The sequence below is a fragment of the Homo sapiens genome, chromosome 2 (genome assembly GCF_000001405.40).
Source record: "Homo sapiens chromosome 2, GRCh38.p14 Primary Assembly".
Lineage (NCBI taxonomy): Eukaryota > Metazoa > Chordata > Mammalia > Primates > Hominidae > Homo > Homo sapiens.
In genome coordinates, this window is record NC_000002.12 from 110,359,127 (window position 1) to 110,379,804 (window position 20,678).

General features: G+C 43.7%; 1 protein-coding gene, 1 long non-coding RNA gene and 1 pseudogene across 2 annotated transcripts in view, besides 3 other annotated features; all 3 read right to left on the reverse strand.

Annotated features, from left to right (window-relative positions):
* Window positions 1–20,678, reverse strand: part of LIMS4 (LIM zinc finger domain containing 4) — a 113,949-nt gene continuing 93,271 nt past the window's right edge. Inside the window, exon 10 of the mRNA XM_017003105.3 lies at window positions 1–20,678. This exon is cut by the window's right edge and continues 7,593 nt beyond it. The gene's annotated coding sequence lies outside the window, so the exon portion shown is untranslated.
* LOC442041 (zinc finger protein 532 pseudogene) lies at window positions 1,283–4,608 on the reverse strand (annotated as a pseudogene).
* Window positions 13,024–13,757: an enhancer, noted in NCBI's record as "H3K27ac-H3K4me1 hESC enhancer chr2:111129727-111130460 (GRCh37/hg19 assembly coordinates)". NCBI's record gives its function as "activates a minimal SCP1, AML or CMV promoter by ChIP-STARR-seq in primed H9 embryonic stem cells {active_cell/tissue: H9 hESC(primed)}" and the evidence as "EXISTENCE:reporter gene assay evidence [ECO:0000049][PMID:30033119]".
* Window positions 13,758–14,493: an enhancer, noted in NCBI's record as "H3K27ac-H3K4me1 hESC enhancer chr2:111130461-111131196 (GRCh37/hg19 assembly coordinates)". NCBI's record gives its function as "activates a minimal SCP1, AML or CMV promoter by ChIP-STARR-seq in primed H9 embryonic stem cells {active_cell/tissue: H9 hESC(primed)}" and the evidence as "EXISTENCE:reporter gene assay evidence [ECO:0000049][PMID:30033119]".
* Window positions 14,494–15,227: an enhancer, noted in NCBI's record as "H3K4me1 hESC enhancer chr2:111131197-111131930 (GRCh37/hg19 assembly coordinates)". NCBI's record gives its function as "activates a minimal SCP1, AML or CMV promoter by ChIP-STARR-seq in naive H9 embryonic stem cells {active_cell/tissue: H9 hESC(naive)}" and the evidence as "EXISTENCE:reporter gene assay evidence [ECO:0000049][PMID:30033119]".
* The window catches only part of LINC01106 (long intergenic non-protein coding RNA 1106), a 9,428-nt gene continuing 4,732 nt past the window's right edge, over window positions 15,983–20,678 (reverse strand). Inside the window, exon 2 of the long non-coding RNA NR_027244.1 lies at window positions 15,983–17,942. This is a non-coding gene — a long non-coding RNA (long intergenic non-protein coding RNA 1106). The remainder of the gene's footprint in view (window positions 17,943–20,678) is intronic.

The following is a 20,678-nucleotide window of genomic DNA, read 5'->3' on the forward strand; positions in this document are numbered from 1 at the left end:
TTTTTTTCAAATGTCCCACGTTTATTTACATATGAAATGTGTTTCATACAGTTATGATGGATGGAGTGTATAACACCTGACAGCAGCAAGACCTTTCGAGGAACCGAACATTGACTACAGTATATCATGCAAGTGTCTATATATACACAAAATAATTCCTTTTCTTAAAAAAAAAAGTACAAAACATGTTCAGGGATAAATACAAGATATAAAATTCAAAAGAAAACACAAAACAAAACCAAAAAATATAACTCTCTCAGAGAACTATAAACGGAAGGGACAGAAGAGTACCTCTACTGCATTTTAGTAAAGCAGAACTGCCGACGTTAAATGTACCTCTTGAAATGGCTGAACTAATCCCGTGTGGCTCAGTGCTTAAGGTAACGGCCAATTGTGACACACAGCCGGCTGCATTGATAAGTCGGTGGTTGACGTCGTGCATCCCACCTCTAAGCACCAGAACGTTTGGCAGTAGCACCCAGAACAGGAAACGCCAACTCTTTTGACAGTAAAGGATTAAGTCAGCTGATTTTTTTTTCTATCAAGAGCCAGAGAAATACTTGATATTCTTAGTTGTGTTTCTGTAATAGTTAATAAATTACATGACAAAAACCTGACTATATAGATCTATTGGTCTAACTACGTATTTGTAACTTTTACAGTAGTCCAGCCCTTTTGTTACTTTTCCTCCTTGTGCTCTTAAAGCCAGACTTGCAGATCTACCCAGAAAACCTGTCCCATTTTTTTTCTTCTTTAGAATAGCCTTCCCCATTCCTCAAAATGGAATTGAGGAAATCAGCATTCCTTATTAGATTCCTGGCTTCAGTTTTTATCCACGGCTGGGAAAGGAGCGACCTGCAAGGCTGCTTTAGACACCCTTCGGCGTGGCCTGAAGACAAAGACATGCCCACACTGGAGTGCAGTTGTCTCAAACGTGTACTCGCTCCCTCAGGGCAGGCACATGGAGGAGGTGCTAAGACATTTAAAAGTTCCTAGTGTTTTTGAGACCCACGATTACTTCCAATTTATGTAGTGAATTCTAACAATTAAAAACACTAAAAAAGGCATTATTTTAGCCTGTAATTAGTTAACCCATTCAAATTCGAAACATACAAAATGATTTATTTGAATTCAGGAACTGCCCCTGTTACTAAGAACTCTGTTTTAAAGAAACAGCACAAAAAGAAAAATTCTAACCCAAAACAACTCAAAACGTTTTCCACTGAATACTGATACAAACATGTAACAAAGAGTATAAAAAGTTATTCATTTAAATATATACAAACTCTTTTAAACTCAAAATCTGTTTTAATACTTAATGAGGATATATATGACAAGATGAAGAAGGAAGGCACGTTGAAAGAGAATATATTGCAACAGCCTAGACAGTATTGTTAACTCTATTATACTGCAAACTTTGTGTAACAAAAGTGTCTTATGCCAATGTGGACAGGGATTTTCCTCATGGAGCGTCTGTGGCTATTTCTCGTCTGAGCTCATCCTTTTGGATTTGATGAAGGCCATACCATGTGTCTGCATGTGAGTTTTTAAGGCAGCTTCAGTTTCAAAAGTTTTTGCGCACACTTTGCACTTTCTGTCTGACATGGCGCCATTGGGAGATTCATCCTCGTGACTGGGTTTGTTCTCCTGTTGGTTATCTTCCCCAGCCCCGTTTTGCTTGGACACTGGCTGAGGTTCCTTTAACTTGTGTACAACAAAGAGGTGCCTGGACAGAGAGACGTGACATGTAGCAGAGGCCACACTCCCGGCACTGGTAGAAAGAACCATCCGATTTGTGCTGAGGGATGTGTTCGTGGAACTGCAGCAGGTTTTCGGTGGTGAAGCCACACACGGCACACTTGTGAACCTTAAAAACATTGATTTCCAGCTTTGGTTGAGTGATTGCTCCTCTGGGAGGCCTGAACTCCAGAACCGGTTCTTTCAACTTCCACTTGGGACTGGGGACCTTGGGGTCTTCTTTTATTTCTGTTTCCTCCTCATTGATGGCGTCTATCATTTCTTTCAGGTCAGGGTCCTTGATGCCATGCGTCAGCTGGACATGCTTCTCCAACATCAACTGTTTGGTAAAGGTACCTCTAGAGTCTGAGCAGTGTGAACAGGTGTACACTTTCCTGATGACTTTGTGCTTGATCCGGTTGTGCCAGCACAGGCTGTGGGACGAGCTGAAAGGCTTGTCACGCTGGCAGCAGGGTTGTTTCTTCATTTGTTTCCCATGCTCCTTCCTGACGTGGGATATGTACACATCTCTCTGCATGAACAGGCGGTCACACTCCCAACATGTCCACCCAGGACTGGCCACTTTCTTGGTTTCCACTGATTTTTTTCAAAGGAGATGGAGATTTCTTTTCCAATTTCTCTTTCCCATTCATGGATTTGCTGTCCTCTTTGTTCTGATATGCTGAATTATAAGTTGCAGGCTTAATGCTCAAAGGCAAGTTTACACCCAAGTTGGCCCTTCAATGCTTTGCAATGTCCCATGCATAGACTTGATATGGTCCACCATAAGTTGCTTCTGTGCATATAAAAGAGAACAGTCTGGACACCTGAGAACAGACACCTTCTGGTTTTCAATGTGTTGGTCAAAGTGGCGATACAGCAAGGTTTGCAGGGTGAACACAGTGTTGCACATGGAACACTTATATATTATTTTTGATTCTCCTATCTTGATGCTAGGATGCTGTGTGTAGGTGTGGGAATGTGTGCTTGGGGCAGACTTAAACGTCATTGGACAAATAGGACACTTGTAGAAGACTTCACAGTGAGAACCTTGAAGGCGAGACTTCAGAGCAGCCACATCAGAGTACACAACATTGCAACGTACACATCAAAAACCAACTCTCCTTGTGTAGTGCAGACAGTTCTTGGTGACGTGGGTCTGGAAGTGCACCAACCTGCAGATGGCCCTGCACTCAGGGCAGGTTTAAGGAGATTTGTGCTGATGGATTCTCTGCACTGGTTAGGAAGCAGCATCTGGCAGATAGTACAAGTCTTTTGTCCACTCATATCTGCAGCCTGCTGGAAATGTGTAGCCAGCGATGTCTTGTCCTGGAAGATTTCATTACACTCCAAACATTTTAGATTATGTCTACACAGCTTGGAGGGGTCTTCATCTAGGGGCATGGCTGTAGTGCTGGGAGTTCTTGAAGGAGCCGATATGACTGTCCCAGTTATGCCAGACTGAATTTTTGTGACAGTGTGTATGCCAGCTCCCACAGGGCTCTGAAGAGTGGATTTTTCCTCTGATGAAGAAGAAGTATTGGTTGATGGAGAAACTATCGTTTGACCTGCTGGGACTGGCTTTAAAATTGAGTAGGAACATTGCATTACCACCCCTTTCTCCTTATGCCCACGGGCATGGGAAAGGAGGCTGCATTTGTTGTAAAAAAACGAGGTTCTTTGTACAAAGGTTGCATGTTACTTCGATGCACACGCTCCATCTGTCATAGTGCTGGGTCAGACTCTTTTCAAGTTCAAAGGAGTCCCTACACTCCAAGCACTTGTACCAAGGCATCAGTAATGTGATCCCTGCATTGGCAGGAGGACTGAGGTTTGGGATGTAAATGGACTGGATTGACACTGCTCAGCACCTTGTTGAAAGTTTCCACCACAGAACTCTGCAAGGACGACACCACCCGGACTCGAGACACCTTTCTGGGGGCTTGTGAGGCTGCTGCATTAATTATTGCCTTCTTTATCTGTTGCTGAGTTTTGATTGACACTTGGCAGAGTTCAGAGGTGGCCTGGGCAACCTGAGGCAGAAGGTTAAGGTTGGCAAGATGCAGTCTTTGGCACAAGTTTGGCATTGGCCAGGCTGGATGCTGGCATCATGACAGTTTGCTGCTGGATGGCATTGGCAGCTTTAATGATGGTGCTGCTGGCACTCTGGACAGAGGCAGCAGGTACGACCGTGGCTTTCACCGTGGTGTTGTTAGCGAGCTTCAAATTAATGACTTGGGATCCTGCTGTCTTCACAGCAGACACTGGGAGGAAAGCAGTAGCCACAGGCTTGATTGTGACCTGTTTAGGGGTGGGCTCTGCAGAGGAAACTGCATTGGTCACCACTGCAGACTGGAGAGGCACCCTGGCGGGAGAGGAAAGGGTGGCAGCTGATGCGGGAGACGACAGAAGGGATGTCACAGAGGCCATCACAGACACCGTCTGCTCGGAAGGTTTCTTCCCAGAGTCAAGATCCACTTCTGGCAATACCCTGGTCACTGTTCTCTTGATTTCCCCAGAAGACGTCTTAGTGGTTTTTATGCGGACTTTGGGGATTGGTGGTGTGGACCCTGCGGGAGAAGCCGGGGTTCCTTTGATGCTGTTCTCACTTGAGATGTTTCTGGGACTATCCAGTTGCTTTAGGGATGTTTTTTTGGTCCCGTCGATGAGATTCTGGGATTCAGGAGACTTGTCGGCGGCTCTCGGACTGTCGTTTACTTCTTTTGATAACGAGGAGGATTCCCTCGAATTGGCCACTTGTTCTTTGGAGGAGTCTGATGCCACCTTTTTAGTGCTGAGAGCTGCGATGGCAGTGATGCAGGACAAGAAGTTGGAGAACGACTTTGTTTTTGATGGCGCAATGCCGGGGAGCCCAAAAATTTCATATACAGTCAAACAAACTTCATAAGCAAAGGAGAAGATACTTTTCAGACAAGCAAATGTTAAGGGAATTTATCACCACCAGACCTGCCTTAAAAGAGGTCTCTAAGGGAGTGTTAAATATAGAAACAAGCCAGGCGCAGTGGCTCACGCCTGTAATCCTAGCACTTCAGGAGGCTGAGGCAGGCGGATCACTTGAGCCCAGGAGTTCAAAACCAGACTGGGCAACATGGTGAAACCCTGTCTCTACAAAAAAATATAAAAATCAGCTAGGAATGGTGGTATGCGCCTGTGGTCCCAACCACTCAGGAGACTAAGGCAGGAGGATGGCTTGAGCCCAGGAAGCAGAGGTTGCAGTGAGCCCAGATCATACCATTGCACTCTGCCTGGGCAGCAGAGTGAGATCCTGTCTCAAAATAAAATAAAATAAATATGAAAACAAAAGACCATTACCAGTCATCACAAAAACACACTTAAATACATAGACCATTAATGCTACAAAGCAACTACAAAATCAAGTCTAGTCTGCATAATAACCAGCTAAAAATATATATATATAAGGACAGGATCAATTCCATACATAGAATTATTAACTTTGAATGTAAGTGGGCTAAATGCCCCAATTGAAATGCACAGAGTGGCAAGTTGAATAAAGAAGCGAGACCCACTTGGGTGCAATGGCTCATGTCTGTAATCCCAGCACTTTGGGAGACCAAGGTGGGCAGATCGCTTAAGCCCAGGTGTTCGAGACCAGCCTGGGCAACATGGGAAAAACTCATCTCTATAAAAAATATAAAATTAGTTAGGCACGGTGGCCTGCACTTGTAGTCCCAGCTACTCCAGAAGTTGAAGTGTAAAGATCACCTGAACTCAGGAGATTGAGGCTTCAGTAAGCCATAATTGTGCCACTGCATTCCAGCATGGGTGAAAGAGACAGAACGGTCTCAAAAAATTAAAAACAAACAAACAAACAAACAAGACCCAACTGTATGCCATCTTCAAGAGACCCATCTCACACATGCAATGACACAGATAGGCTCAAAGTAACGGGATGGAGGAAAATCTACCAAGTAAACAGAAAACAAAAACAAAACAAACAAACAAAAAATTAGCAGGGGCTGCTATTCTAATTTCAGACAAAACAGACTTTAAGTCAACAACAATCAAAAAATACAAAGAAGGGCATTACATAATGGTAAAGTGTTCAATTCAACAAGAAGACTTAACTCTTCTAAATATATATGCATCCAACACAAGAATTATGTGTGCACCCAGGGAGCACCCAGATTCATAAAAACAAGTTCTTAGAGACCTGTGAGGAGACTTAAATTTCCACACAATCATAGTGGGAGACTTCAACCCTCCACTGACAGTATTAGACAGATCATCAAGGCAGAAAACTAAAAAATATATGACCTGAACTCAACACTTGACCAAATGGAACTAACAGACATCTACAGAATTCCCCACCCCAAAACAACAGAATATATATTATTCTCATCACCACGTGGTGCATACTCTAAAACTGACCACACAATCAGACAAAAAACAATTCTCAAAAAATTTTTAAAAATTGAAATCATACCAATTACACTCTCAAACCACAGCACAATAAAAATAGAAGCAAATACTAAGAAGATTGCTCAAAACCATAAAATTACATGGAAATTGAACAACCTGCTCTTGAATGACTGCTAGGTAAATTATGAAATTAAGGCAGAAATAAAGCTTCAAAACCAAAGAAAAAAAAGATAAGACATACCAGAATCTGTGTGACACAGCTAAAGCACTGTTAAGAGGAAAGTTTATAGCATTAAATGCTCATGTCAAAAAGTTAGAAAGATCTCCAATTAACAACATAGCATCACACCTAGAAGAACTAGAAAAACAAGATCAAACCAACCCTAAAACTAGAAGAAGACAAGAAATAACTGAAATCAGAGCCGAACTGAAATAAAGTGATGCATGAAAAAACATACAAAAGATCAATAAAACCAGAAGTTTTTTTTAAAGACTAAATAAGATAGCTAGAACGCTAACTAGACTAACAGCAGAAGAAAGAGAAAATCCAAATAAACACAATCAAAATTGACAAAGGAGACATTATCAATGACCCTACAGAAATACAAAAACTCTGAGACCATTATGAACACCTCTAGGCACACAAACTAGAAAACCTACAAAATGTGGAAAAATTCCTGAAAACACAACTCCCCAAAATTGAACCAGGAAGAAACTGAAACCCTGAACAGACTAATAATGAGTTTTGAAATTGAATCAGTAATAAAATAATTTCCATCTAATTTTATGATTTTGAGCAAGAAAAAGCCCAGGATCAGATGAATTCACAGCCAAATTCTACCAGACGTATAAAGAAGAGCTGCTACCATCCCTGCTTGAAACTATTCCAAACAATTGAGGACCAGAGACTCCTCACTAACTCATTCTATGAGGCAAGCATCATTCTGATACCAAAGCCTGGCAGAGACACAGCAAAGAAAAAACTACAGGCCAATATCCTTGATGAACACAGATGCAAAAATCCTCAACAAAATACTAGCAAACTGAATCTACCAGCACATCAAAAAGCTAATCCACCATAATCAAGCAGGGTTTATGCCTGGGATGCAAGGTTGGTTCAACATATGCAAATCAATAAATGTGACTTATCACATAAACAGAACTGAAAACAAAAACCACATAATCATCTCAATAGATGCAAAAAAGACTTTTGATAAAATTCAACATCCCTTTATGTTAAAAACCCTTAATAAACTAGGTATTGAGGGAACATACCTCAAAATAATGAGAGCCATTTATGACAAACCCACGGCCAACATCACACTGAACAGGCAGAAGCTGGGATCATTCCCCTTGAGAAGTGGAACAAGACAAGGATACCCACTCCCATCACTCCTATTTAACACAGTACTAGAAATCCTAGCCAGGACAATCAGGCAAGAGAAAGAAGTAAAGGCATCCAAATAGGAAGACAGGAAGTCAAACTATCTCTGTTTGCAGATAACATGATTTTATACCTAGAAAACCCCATAGTCTCTGCCTAAAAGCTCCTAGATCTAATAAACAACTTCAGCAAAGTTTCAGGATACAAAATCAAGGTACACAAATCAGCAGTATTTCTATACACCAACAATATCCAAGCTGAGTGCCAAATCAAGAATGCCATTTAATTCACAATAGACACACACACACACACACACACACACACACACACACACAAATACCAAGGAATAAAGGGAACCAGGGAGGTGAAAGATCTCTACAACAAGAAAACAAGAATTACAAAGCACTGCTGAAAGAAATCAGAGCTGACCCAAACAAATCGAAAAACACTCCATGCTCAAGGATAGAAAGAATCAATATTGTTAAAATTGCCACATACTATCAAAAGCAATCTCTAGATTCAATGTTATTCCTATCAAACTACCAATGTCATTTTTCACAGAATTAGAAAAAAAACCTATTCTAAAATTTATAAGGAACTAAAAAGGAGCACAAATCACCAAAGCAATCCTAAGCAAAAAGAACAAAGCGGGAGGCATCACACTACCTCACTTCAAACTATACTACAAGGCTACAGTAACCAAAACAGCATGGTATTGGTACAAAAACAGACACATAGACCATTAGAAAAGGATAAAGAACCCAGAAATGAAGCCACACGTCTACAACTAACTGATCTTTGGCAAAGGTGACAAAAATAAGCAATAGGAAAAGGGCTTCCTATTCAATAAATGATTCCAGGATAACTGGCTATCTAGATGCCAGAATGAAACTAGACCCCTACTTATCACCATATACAAAAATTAACTCAAGAGGGATTAAAGACTTAAATGTAAGACTTCGAACTATAAAAACTCCCAGCACTTTGGGAGGCCAAGGCAGGTGGATCACCTGAGCTAAGGAGTTCAAGACCAGCCTGGGCAACATGGTGAAACCCCACGTTTACCAAAAAAAATACGAAGAATTAGCTGGGCGTGGTGGCACACGTGCCTGTGGTCCCAGCTATTCAGAAGGCTGAGGTGGGAAGATTGTTTGAGCCTGGGAGGTGGAGATTGCAGTGAGTCAAAATCTCATCACCACACTCCAGCATAAGGGACAGAATGAGACCCCTCTCAAAAAAGAAAAAAAATTCTGGAACTAGAGAGTGTTAAGAATGTCCTAAATGTCACCAAATGATACACTTTAAAGTGCTTAATCTTATGTAAATTTTTCCTCAATTTAGAAACTTTTTCAAATTCTTGAAAAAAAGAACTACGTAACATATATAAATATATACATAAACATAATATATATAGTATAAACATTTATAGCATACATATGTAATCTCTCTGCCATTTTGGGCTACCTTAACAAATAAGGCAGAAGCAACACATAAAAATTAAATATAAATATATGTACATATACACACACATAAATATGCATATTTATAAATTTAGAAATATAGAACATAGGTGACTATTCAAGGAAACATATATTTATGAGCATATAAATATATAGGTAACATACATAAATATATTTAATATAGAAATTTACACATATATATGTAGCACTCTGCCACTCTGGCATACTTTGCTCATACAAGGTAGAAGCAAACATATATACTCACATACATGTGTATGCACACACATAGGTATGTTTTTATATATGTACATACAACTACTTATATTTATTAATATATATAGAAATACATAAAAAGCGTAAAATATACATAAGGGTATTGTTAAATTGAATTATCTTTGTCCTAAAGCTGCCTCCATACTTATTTTAAGTTTGGCCTAATGAGTTCTCTATACATAGCTAGTTGAAACCTAACTTAATGTGTAAAAATAACTAACTTAACCCAAGACTGTAGTCTTATAACATGTAACTATGTCTCAGCCAATGAAAACAGCTGAGCCTTCAGCCAATCAGAGGCTGAAAGCTGCCAAAACATGACTATATAAGGTAAATGCCAACAGCAGCCAATCAGGCTGTTTCCGTGCACTTCTTTTTCTCTAGCTGTAAATATAACCTGCACATACGGTGGCATGGAGTGTTCTGAGCCATTTTTGGTGCAAACTGATGCCTGATTCCTAAATTGTTTCTTTGCTCAAATAAACTCTGCTAAATTTAATGTATGTAAAGGTTTTTTTTTTTTTTTTTAACAGATTCGTGTAGGAAATGCAATCTGAAGTAGAACTTCCATCAAACCCCAGAAGCATGGAGTGGCCAAGCACAGCGACCCACCAGGCCCATTGTGCACACAGATCTCTCACAGCAGCAGGGGTCCTGGGCAAGTTCTCTCTCAAATTTTGAAGCTCCAAGAATTTGTGTTTTGAGCTATGCATTTGTTTAAGCCAATTTTTTTATCCAGACTGGGTTTCAAAGTTGATTCTGAAATAATAAATAAAAGCTAAATAAGATCTTTAAACTAAATTTGTTGTAATTTTGTCTTTTGAGAGTTCTGGCAAGCTGAATGGGATCCACCTCCCAAGACCCCTTGAGGAAAGCAGGAAAGACACTGCTGGCCCCTTTGCCCTCCTTCTGAGGTTGTACATTCCTCTTAGGCCAGACTCTGTTCTTTTTGCATTGAACCTTGATCCTTTTGGGTTTCAAATCCAGGGTTTTGTGCTGTGAGAGGGCAAATTATCTTGGGATGGGTGCCAATGGCCAGTTTCTGCTGTGAGATAATATACGGCCTTTTGAGGTTTGGGTAGCTGACGAGTCATTGGCAAAAACTTGACTGAGTCCAGCATCAAATTGGATTTGATTGTGAACTGCATTGGATCGAGGTAGGAGGCCACTCAGTCTGATGATCAGATGGAAACTGGACTGGGTTCAGTAGATAGATAAGTTTGGCCTCCCTCAAGATAACCTAGAGTTACAGTGGTGACAGTGGGGAAACCCTTACAAAGGTAAATAGGTGCGTGTCTTCCCAGTTACAACAACTGCAGGGATTGAGAGTACTTGTACTTGTGCATGCAAACTAAACACCCCTGTGCCCTAAGATGTCTGCCTTTTTTGCAAATAGCCAGGCCACTGGAAAAAGAATTGTCCACTTTTACAGCAGCCATCTCACGGGTCATCCCTTTGGCCTGGACTGTTTCCCCACTAAGGGAAGCCCTCAAAGGCATCACTCTTGGGACAACTATCGACTAATCTAATCAGCCCTCCCTGTTTTCTCTCTCTCTCTCTTTGATCCTGCTTCTCCCATGGGAACCTCTCAGTTGACTGAAACCACTCTTTTCCAACCCTTGCTGCCACTTCTTTCTTATTGTCATGAACTTTGCCATGTTCCCGAAGTCTTACTTAGTGAAAATAAGCCTTTCTGACTTAATTTCCTTGTTGAGAAGGGTGGCCAGCAGCCAGGCTAGTGATAAAATTAATTAAATATGCCACCGAATTAATTCCTACAGTGTTAAAAGAGAAGCACCAACAATGTCAGTGACCATGTAACATGGATTTAAGCTACAAGTCATAGAACTGTGATAAGAAGCCTCAGCGCTGTAAAACAGAGGGTGGAGGAAAGCATTTCCTCTCTCAAATGAGCTTTGCCGGGTATACTTCTTGAAGAGTAGGAAGTTGAAGTGTTCAGGACTTTTATATCTATTCTACTTTGGCTTAGTTTAAATGATTCTTAGTTTATTAGCCTAGAAATGGCCAAGAAAACTTAAGTCTCAATAATTAGTTATAAATGTGAAATATCCCCAATTTTTAAGATAAAAACAACTTATAAATGTATTTGTAAAAATTGCGTATATTTTTAGAGAGCGTGTATTTCTTTAAAACGGAGGGGAGTCTCTCATTTATATTAGTTTTCTTCATACCCTTTTGAACTTTGCAATTCCTATGTGTAGGAACCTATTTCTTACAGTTTTTCTACGCTAAACTCTGTCCTGGTCAGTTCTAGCGTGTACGAAGAACCAAATGATGTAATTGTATGCGACCTGGCTGTAGTGGAACAAATTTGACTCTTAAGTATGCAGGCTCTAATTTTCCTGTCTGATTTTTGTAAGTATTCCTTAGATAGGTTTTTTCTTTGAAAATCTAGGATTGAGAGGTTGATGAATGAAAATTAATCCTTTCACTTTGTTGTATATAGGTTTGCAATAACTAGGTCAGAGTAGAGTTTTTAGGTCATGAAGGGGGTTGATGACTTACAAATAATGGGCTCTGATTGGGCAACTACTCATCTGAGTTCCTTCCATTTGACCTAATTAAGCTTGTGAAATTTACACTAAGCCACGAGCTCATCTTTAAAAAGCTTTTACTAAAAGATTTTCAGCTGTTCCAAATGGGACTTATTAGTGGAATGTGTTTTAAAGAATCATATCAGATGAATGAAAGGTATTTGATCCTTTATTTCCTAAATAATTAAATGATGGCTAGAGTCTAACCACAGTGCTATTATTAGGCTTTCTTGTTAAACATAGGTCTGAGCCTAAGTACGTCAATACAACAAATACTTACTGTTTCGTTTCTATTAATGAGAAAAAAAAAAAAAAAAAACAAGTCTTTCTGGCATAATGATGATTTTCATCTGGTTATTTTGAAACATTTTTGTAAAATAAATTTACATCTATAAAGAAAATTTTTATTTGTAAGGAGGGGTATGTCTCTGTGCACTGGAAGAGAGGAAGGACTAAATTACTGGGAAGTCTTATGATAAAGAAGCCATTGGCTTAAATCAGCAAAGCAAGCCGTCCCTTGGTTTAAGGTGTTTTTCCTGGCCATCCTGTCTTGACTAGAACTTTACCTACACGCTCCTTTTTGGTTTAGGCAAATGATAGTATCTAAACCTGAAGTCTCAACACTGTGCCTTTGAGATATAAACATTCTACCATGTCTTCTCTGGAACCTGATAACTATCTGTCTCTTTAAAATGCAAGTCTAGGGAGATGACTCATCAGAAAAAGAAGAAAAAAGAGGTATTTGGAAATTGTGCAAATTAAAGCAGCCCCTGATGCCAAAGTCTACACATTCCTGAGTGAGTCAGTTCTGGCCAGTTCTAGCTGGATCAAGAGAGCCCTGCTGGGCAGGCCTGAAGAGCACCTGAATGGCAGACACCTGAGGAGCCAGGTGCCTGAAACTTCCTCCACCTGCCTGAGGAGCACCAAAGCCCAGGCTGGCTAGACAACCCCTTCTGGCTGCCTAAGCAGGTGGCAGAGGAAGGAAACAAGGTCAGAGGCAGAGTGTTGAACCCTGCCTCCCAGGTGGGTGGAAGATGCCTGTCGCCAAACTAGGGCCCAGCTTGCCAGGTGAGGTGGGTGAACTGGTGATCCCCCGAGAGAGTGGACGTCAGAACTATATGGTCCCAGACTTCACCTCAGCCAGCAAAGGAGAGAGAGGGTTAATGTTAACTGCACGAGGCCCACTCTAGCCTTAAATTCTGTAATGCAAACCCTTCCCTTGGAGACAAAACAAACATGACAAGGAATTCTGAGGTCAGGGGACAAGAACCACAAGTTCCCTAGTGGGAGACTGAGGAGGCAGTGTCCTTCCTGCCATTGGTCTACTGGCTAAGAACCTTCCTCAGCCTGACCTTTCCACATTGCACTTTCAGCTCTGTTTGCAATTTTCCTCCTTTAGTGCTGAGGGAATCCCAGTGTTTGATCCTGAAATCTATAGGTTCCTAATGGGTGGTTAAAAAAAACCTCAGCGAGAGAAGCAGAAAATGTTTCCTCTTCCTGAAAAACTGTAGAAAGGCAGGCACCATTCTGGGTGAGGACATGGTCCTTGCAAATGTCTTTTTTATGTTTTTTATTTTTTTTATTTTGAGATGAAGTTTTGCTCTTGTTGCCCAGACTGGAGTGCAGTAGTGCGATCTCTGCTCACTGCAACCTCCGCCTCCTGGGTTCAAGCAATTCTCCTACCTCAGCCTCCCAAGTAGCTGGAATTACAGGCACCTGCCACCACACCTGGCTGATTTTTGTATTTTTAGTAGAGATGGGGTTTTGCCATGTTGGCCATGTTGGTCTCAAACTCCTGACCTCAAGTGAGCCACCTGCTTCTGCCTCTCAAAGTGCTGGGATTACAGGAGTGAGCCACCGCGTCCAGCCTGCAGATGTCTTTAAAGACAGCGTTTCAGAGGCTGTGACAGTGCCCTGTGAATGTGCCAAATCTCGCAGTCCCGGGAGCTCTGAGGGGCAGGCCCAGCTCCTTGCCAGGCTGATGGTACTGAAACCCTGCTCTCCAAGACATAACTGATGGCCCTGCAAGATTTCTTAATCGACTGTGGACCGTGAGAACCTGCATCTCATTTTAATTAAGACAGGAAAAGAAAGAACAAAAGAGCAACTCCCAGGTTATAGAGAAACTGGATTTTAGTATAATATTCAAGTGTAGCACTGCTAATAATAACAAACCTTTCCCCTCCCAAACGGTAAACACTTGCACTGCCTATTATACAAAAATTCAACCACCCCTCTGTTCCCCCCATATCTCCTCCCCAGTGACACCCCCCCCCTCATGTGGCCTCATGAGCCTGGCCAGTGGTGAATGGCACTTTCAGGGGCATGAGACTTCACGTGAGTGGGACTCAGCTGGGACCCCTCTCCAGGTGGGAGCCGGAGAAGCTGCCCTAGTACCAGCTCAAAGTGTCCGTGATGTCCCTGCTGCTGAGGTAGGGGCCGCCTCTGAGCTGGTCTCGGGGTGTGAGCTGCTGCTGGTAGTGGGCTCTGCCCTGAGGGCCTGGTGGCTGGTCGGAAGGGCAGGCACACATGGGTGCCTCCCCAGGGACCCAGGCCACCTCCCCACCACAGCCCTGCACTGTGTGCTCCAGGCATGTGCTGAGTGCCTGGTCAATCACCAGTGCCCCATTGATCCCAGTCTCCAGAGAGAGCATTTAGTGTCACTCCACAGAGGGGGAAACTGAGGCCCAGAGAAGTAAGGTGACTCTCCCCAGTCACAGGGCTGGTCAGCAGTAGGATGGGAGGCTAGTCCCTTGCTCTCTGACTCCCTGAGCCCACCCATAGCCCAAGGCAGCCAATCTCTGCCCGCCCTGGTTCAGGCCCCGACTGGCCCCTGTGGTGGGTGATGTCTACCTTCCTGGCCTTTGTGCTCCCAGCCAACTGGGATGGAGCCTCCAGCTGGCATGACAGGTTGTAGCTATGGACAGAAGAGTGGCTGTGAGGCTGCCAGGAATCTCACCAGGGCCCCCTCCCAGGGCCTGTGCAGAGTGAGGTCTGGGTACCCCAGGCATTGCCAGACCACAGGATCTGATGTTGGCCAAGAGGCCATGGCCACAGGCTTTCTGAGGCTGGCCCCCAGGGAGAGTTCAATCCTAGTGTCCCAATTCCTGCCCTGGCCTTACCTCTCAGTCTCACCGAGCTGCTTCATCGTCCCAAACCAGGACCCAAAGTGCTGCTTGGGCTCAAGGTTGTAATTATTTGCAGCCAACTGGAGCAGCGGACCTCCTTGCTTACTTTGAATTCCTGGGTCCAGAGGGAAAAAGTGGGTGGTGACAGGGACTGGACAGGGATGCCACAGGGGCCCTGTGGGGGTGTTAGATGGGGTGGTGGCCAGTCTTTGCTCATAGGGCACCCCCTCCTCCTCTCCAGTCCTGTCCCCACCTGTTCTCAGAGCTGGCTCAAACAGCAACTCCTCCAGGAAGGTGTCCTTGGTTTCAACCTGGTACTCCCACCTGCACGTCTTCCTGGAGTGTCTCCTCTTTCTCTCTGTATCCCCATAAATCTAAGATGAGGGGGATGGATTTGCCCACCGCTACTCACCTTATGACTCTTGTGAGGTTGATCAGTCTCCCCTGGAAGGCCAACAGCTGAAGTCCATCAGAAAGGGTCCTCTGGCCCAGAGCCAGCCCCTGCCCACCCCTGTCATGCTGCACCCAGGGTGCAAGACCCAGATCAGGTCTGGGTGACAGGAGGGGGATAGAGGGGCTGAGGCTCAGGGGCCTTCTAGCCTAACTTGTCTGGAGACAGCTGGGGAAACTGAGACCCCAAGCAGGGAGGTATGGCTCCAAGAGATTATTCTCATTAACCTGAAACATTTTTGCAAGCTGTTAGGTATAGGAAGTCTGTCACAGGTAAGAGAAACGCTTTTTGAGAGCATGAGAGACAGCAGGGTTGTGATAATATTGAAGCACCACTGTGCAGATTCACCGATTGCCACCACCGGGAGCCCCCCTGAGAGCCATTGCAGATGCACAGCCCTCCCCTGCAACCCCTGGACCTCCCCATGGTCTGGCACCTAAAGGGTTACGTCTCATGGCAGGAATCAGGGCCCTCAGGATGCCCTGCCCACTCCAAAGTCTGCCTCTGCTCTGATTGGTCGCTGACATTCAGATTGTCACCCAAATATAAGGACGTTAGCAGAAAGACCCATGCAATACAAGTGGACTCAGACATAGATAGGAATTGGGTTGCAAAAAGCCCCTTTTGTTTATTTTATTTTGGAAAAAAATTTTATTGTGAAAATTCACATATATATATAAAAAATTCAATCAATACAAAAGGATAGACAATGAACAAATGAATTCCCCTTCCACTCCAGATCCCCACCCCAGATCCAGACCTCCTGAGCCCACTTTCCCCATCTCATCACAGATCCAGACCTCCTGAGCCCACTTTCCCCATCTCATCACAGATCCAGACCTCCTGAGCCCACTTCCCCCATCTCACCACAGATCCAGACCTCTTGAGCCCACTTTCCCGATCTCATCACAGATCCAGACCTCCTGAGCCCACTTTCCCCATCTCATCACAGATCCAGACCTCCTGAGCCCACTTCCCCCATCTCATCACAGATCCAGACCTCCTGAGCCCACTTTCCCCATCTCATCACAGATCCAGACCTCCTGAGCCCACTTCCCCCATCTCATCACAGATCCAGACCTCCTGAGCCCACTTCCCCCATCTCATCACAGATCCAGACCTCCTGAGCCCACTTCCCCCATCTCATCACAGATCCAGACCTCCTGAGCCCACTTTCCCCATCTCATCACAGATCCAGACCTCCTGAGCCCACTTTCCCCATCTCATCACAGATCCAGACCTCCTGAGCCCACTTCCCCCATCTCACCACAGATCCAGACCTCTTGAGCCCACTTTCCCCATCTCATCACAGATCCAGACCTCCTGAGCCCACTTTCCCGATCTCATCACCAGTGATTTCTTGGGCCCTGCATTAGTTTTCTATTGCTGCTGCAACAAACAGCTACAGACTCAGTGGCTTCCATTTCTGTCTTATAGTTCTGATTGCCAAAAGTCCTAAGAGGATCTCACCAGGCTAAAGTCAAGGTGCTGGCGGGGCTGTGTCCCTTCTGGAGGCTCAAGGAAAGAATCGGGTCCCTGCCTTTTCTAGCTTCTAGGGGCTCCAGCTTCTAGGTTTGTGGCCTCCTTCCTCCATCCTCAAAGCCAGCAACAGCAGGTGAAGTCCTTGCCCATCGTGCATCACTCTCCCTTCTGCCTCCTTCAACTTTTTTTTATATTTAGGGGGAACGAGTACAGGATTCTTACATAGTCAAAAAGCTCCTTATAGAGAAGCTCGGAACTTTCAATACAGCTTTGCATTTTTTACCATTTTAATTTTCCATTTAATTTAAATGTATTCTCTCATTTGACCTTCATACTCTGTGGAGAAATATTTCTATTTTGGCTTGTATTGACAAGCTGTTTTCACACAGCCCCCACATCACCCAACCACCCAGCAGAGATCCTCATTCCCATGAAACAGATAAAGAAATTGAGACCCAGGGAGGCTAAGAGTCCTGGCAGGATCATTCACCTTCCAAGGTAAGGAGCCAGTTCCAGACCTGGGTTTGTGCAGCTCCAAGCTCCCCCGTCTTTCTACAATGCTAGATTTAGACTATAGCAATCTAGCAAGTGTGGCCACACAATGGTCAAGTTGGATTTAGATGATGTTCTCTATAAATCCATTCTCCTCTCCCGTGTAAGCAAGGCAAAGTACTCCAGGCCATGGGGAGTCCCTGAAGACTCGATGAACTGCAATGGCCATATCAGGAGGTTGCAGGTTGACCAGAACTCACCGACACAGCAGGAGAGCAGCTTGGAACCTTCAACCCAGCCAAGACCCAGTGCCTTGGACTGGGGGAGAAAACATGCAGCCATTCCTCTCTCTCTCTGCTGGCTAGAGGGGATTCTGGCTTTTCCTGCCAGAGCCACCCCTTTCCCTCCTCCTAAAGTTGATGGTGGTTCTTTAAGGAAAGGGAGAAGTGCACGGTGTGATAGGGCAGGAAGAGAAGAAAACGGAGGAGAAGAGGGGACTTTCCCATAAGCAGGCAGAAGAAACGGCAGCTGTGTTGTGTGATGGACATGGATGCAGCGGTGTCCAATGTGGGGTCAGCCCTAGAGGAGAGACAGAGAGAGAGACAGACAGTGAGAGAGTCCTGGCCCTTATGATTAACATGGGATCTGCCTGCAAATGCTGTTTAGGGCCATCGCCTCTTCCTGTACTGCTATTTTTGAGAGTGATGCTCCTGAGTCCCATGACCCAGTCAAATTTCATGTCCCCTTGAGCCAGATTCAGTGCTGGGAGTCCAGTGTGATCTGCCTGGATCTTGCTGCACTGAGAATAGGGCAGATCTTGATCCCAATACAGGGGCTGGATATGAACAGGCAACAGCTGGGTTTCTGAATCAGAAAGACTTGGTTAATTGCTAATTGCTTAGGTGAGTAATTTAATTTTGTTGAGTCAGATTCCTCAGCTATAAAATGCAGATGACAATACTTATTCCTCCAGGTTGTGGGGAAAATGGAGACTCTAAGCACGATGTCCATTTCACAGAAAGATACCAATTTGGTGGCTTATTTTTCTTTCTACCTTCAGAAGTGGCTATCCCTGCCACCCAAACAGACCCTTGACTCTCAAGTGGATGTCCCATTTGCACAGGGGGAGACCTGACAGCCTACGTTGAGTCTATACTTACCACTTAGTGAGCATTGTATCCACTCAGGGGCCTCTGTGGGCATCCGTCTCCTCTGCAGCATCTTTCCTCCCCACAGCTGGGTCTGCACATGACCCCCTCCTTGGGTTAGGCCTCTGATCAGTGATGACCTTGGTATGGTGGTGATGGTCAGTCTTGGCATCAAATGAGCCAGTTTATATCATCAGCTATTCAATAAAACACTAATCTAGGTGTCACCGTGAAAGTATTTTGTGACATTGTTATGTACATGTTGTTACAAATGTGCATGATGCATTTACTACAGTATAGAATTTTGCCTGGGTGCCAGCCTGAAGTCTGTCTGACAGATCATAGCCATGTTAGTCCAATAGTCACAGGGGCCAATTGATTAAATTATTTTATCTCCCTTGAGAACTAAAAATGAAACCCTAAGCCCCCCACCCGACTTAACAGACCCCCTGTTGGCCAACGGAACCTCAAATAAATCTTAAAATTCAGTTCTTGGCCATGACAGGACAGGAGGTCAGACATAACTCCCTGTACCTCTCTCCCTCTTATGGTTTAGACCCAACAACTGAACAGCATTAACGTTAAAATAGAGATCATGAGACTGACAGAACAGACTCTTTGTGGCAATAAGACCCCAAATTATAAACAGGACCTAGGGCCATGCCAGGCAAGGGTTAAGTCTTGTACCCTACTCTTAAAGAATAAACTAGATTCTAACTACCACATAGTTTTTATTTTTCTCTAGCAGCCAAGCAAGCACTGGCTATGAGAGAAGCAAGATTAAAACAATTACAACTCACCCAGTTCACAGACACTGAGTAACTGATCTCCTGCCCCACCGACCTTAACGACAGCTTTCACTGGACAAGGGACTGATTTCAGTAACTTTCTCCTGATAAGAGACCATCCTCCATGGACTGGTTCTGGCCAGTTTTAGAGGCTGTGCCTTTACAGAGGCTGAGTACCTTCATTCCCTGCTTCACTTTTTGATGTGTAGGGCCTAATTATAACACATTTAAATGTCAAGTCTCCACCCCAGAATGAACATGCATGTTTATTCAATATGCATGTGTTAGGACCTCTTTTATGAGTATTCTCATAAAATGATATAGCTCCTCTGATATCCTATTGAGTATGTATATGTAGTCAACTCATTCAGCTCAAATTCCTGTCCTCTCCTTCCCTCCCTGGAAGGGCCTGCCTCTAGCCTTGGCTGTAGGCCACACTTCCCAGCCTGTCATAATGGCCACCTTGCAGGCTGCAAACCTTTATAAGAAATAAAGCTCTCTTTTCTAAATTTATAAAATTGTGTGATTTTTCAGTTGATGCTCTCTTTCTACACACACACACACACACACACACACAATTTATACAGAAAGAAATCTGGAGAATATATGTGGGAATGGATATTAAGTGTGTGGCACCATGGTGGAAGTAACACAAAGTTGGAGTAGGCTAAATTTATTAATGTTGGCCCACTAAACAGAGATTCTGGATTCAGGGTTGTAGGTCAAAGTTTTAGAAAGGGCTCCAAGGGTTGGTTTGATCGGTTACTTGGTTGGTTGGTTGGTTGCTTGCTTGCTTGCTTGCTTGTTTGGTTGGTTTGTTGCTTGCTTGCTTGTTGGTTGATTGGTTGGCTGTTTGCTTATTTGTTTTGTTACTTGGCTGGTTGGCTGAAACAGAATCAGAGTTTACCTAAAGTACATAAAGTTGAGATGTCACAACTTCCTTGGTTTATGTGTATAGGAAGGTATGCAAAAACTCAGGGAGACTGGATTTATTATGTCAGACCTGCTCACTCACACTGGAGGGTCTACAGAACATACTTCTCACAACGATCATGAGAAAGAATATTGTGAGAGGAGCCCAGTATCCTGGAAGAGCTTTGAGCTCGTGCTCTCAGTAGGCAAAATGTTACAGCAGAAACTGCAGCCACTGGACTGGGATCTTTAAATAAAATGAGGATAATTGAATCCTGGGGTGGCAGGGAACATGGGCTGTCCTTAATCACCAAAGATGAGGTGGGTGTGGTCACTACAGTGGAAAGCAGTGTCAAAGCAGCAGTCAGAATGGTTTGACTCACAGAAACCCATGGCATTGTGTAGTCCATGGTATCCACAGGGAGAGCTAATGGGCTGTACCAAAGTCTTAGTTGTTTTTTAAAAAA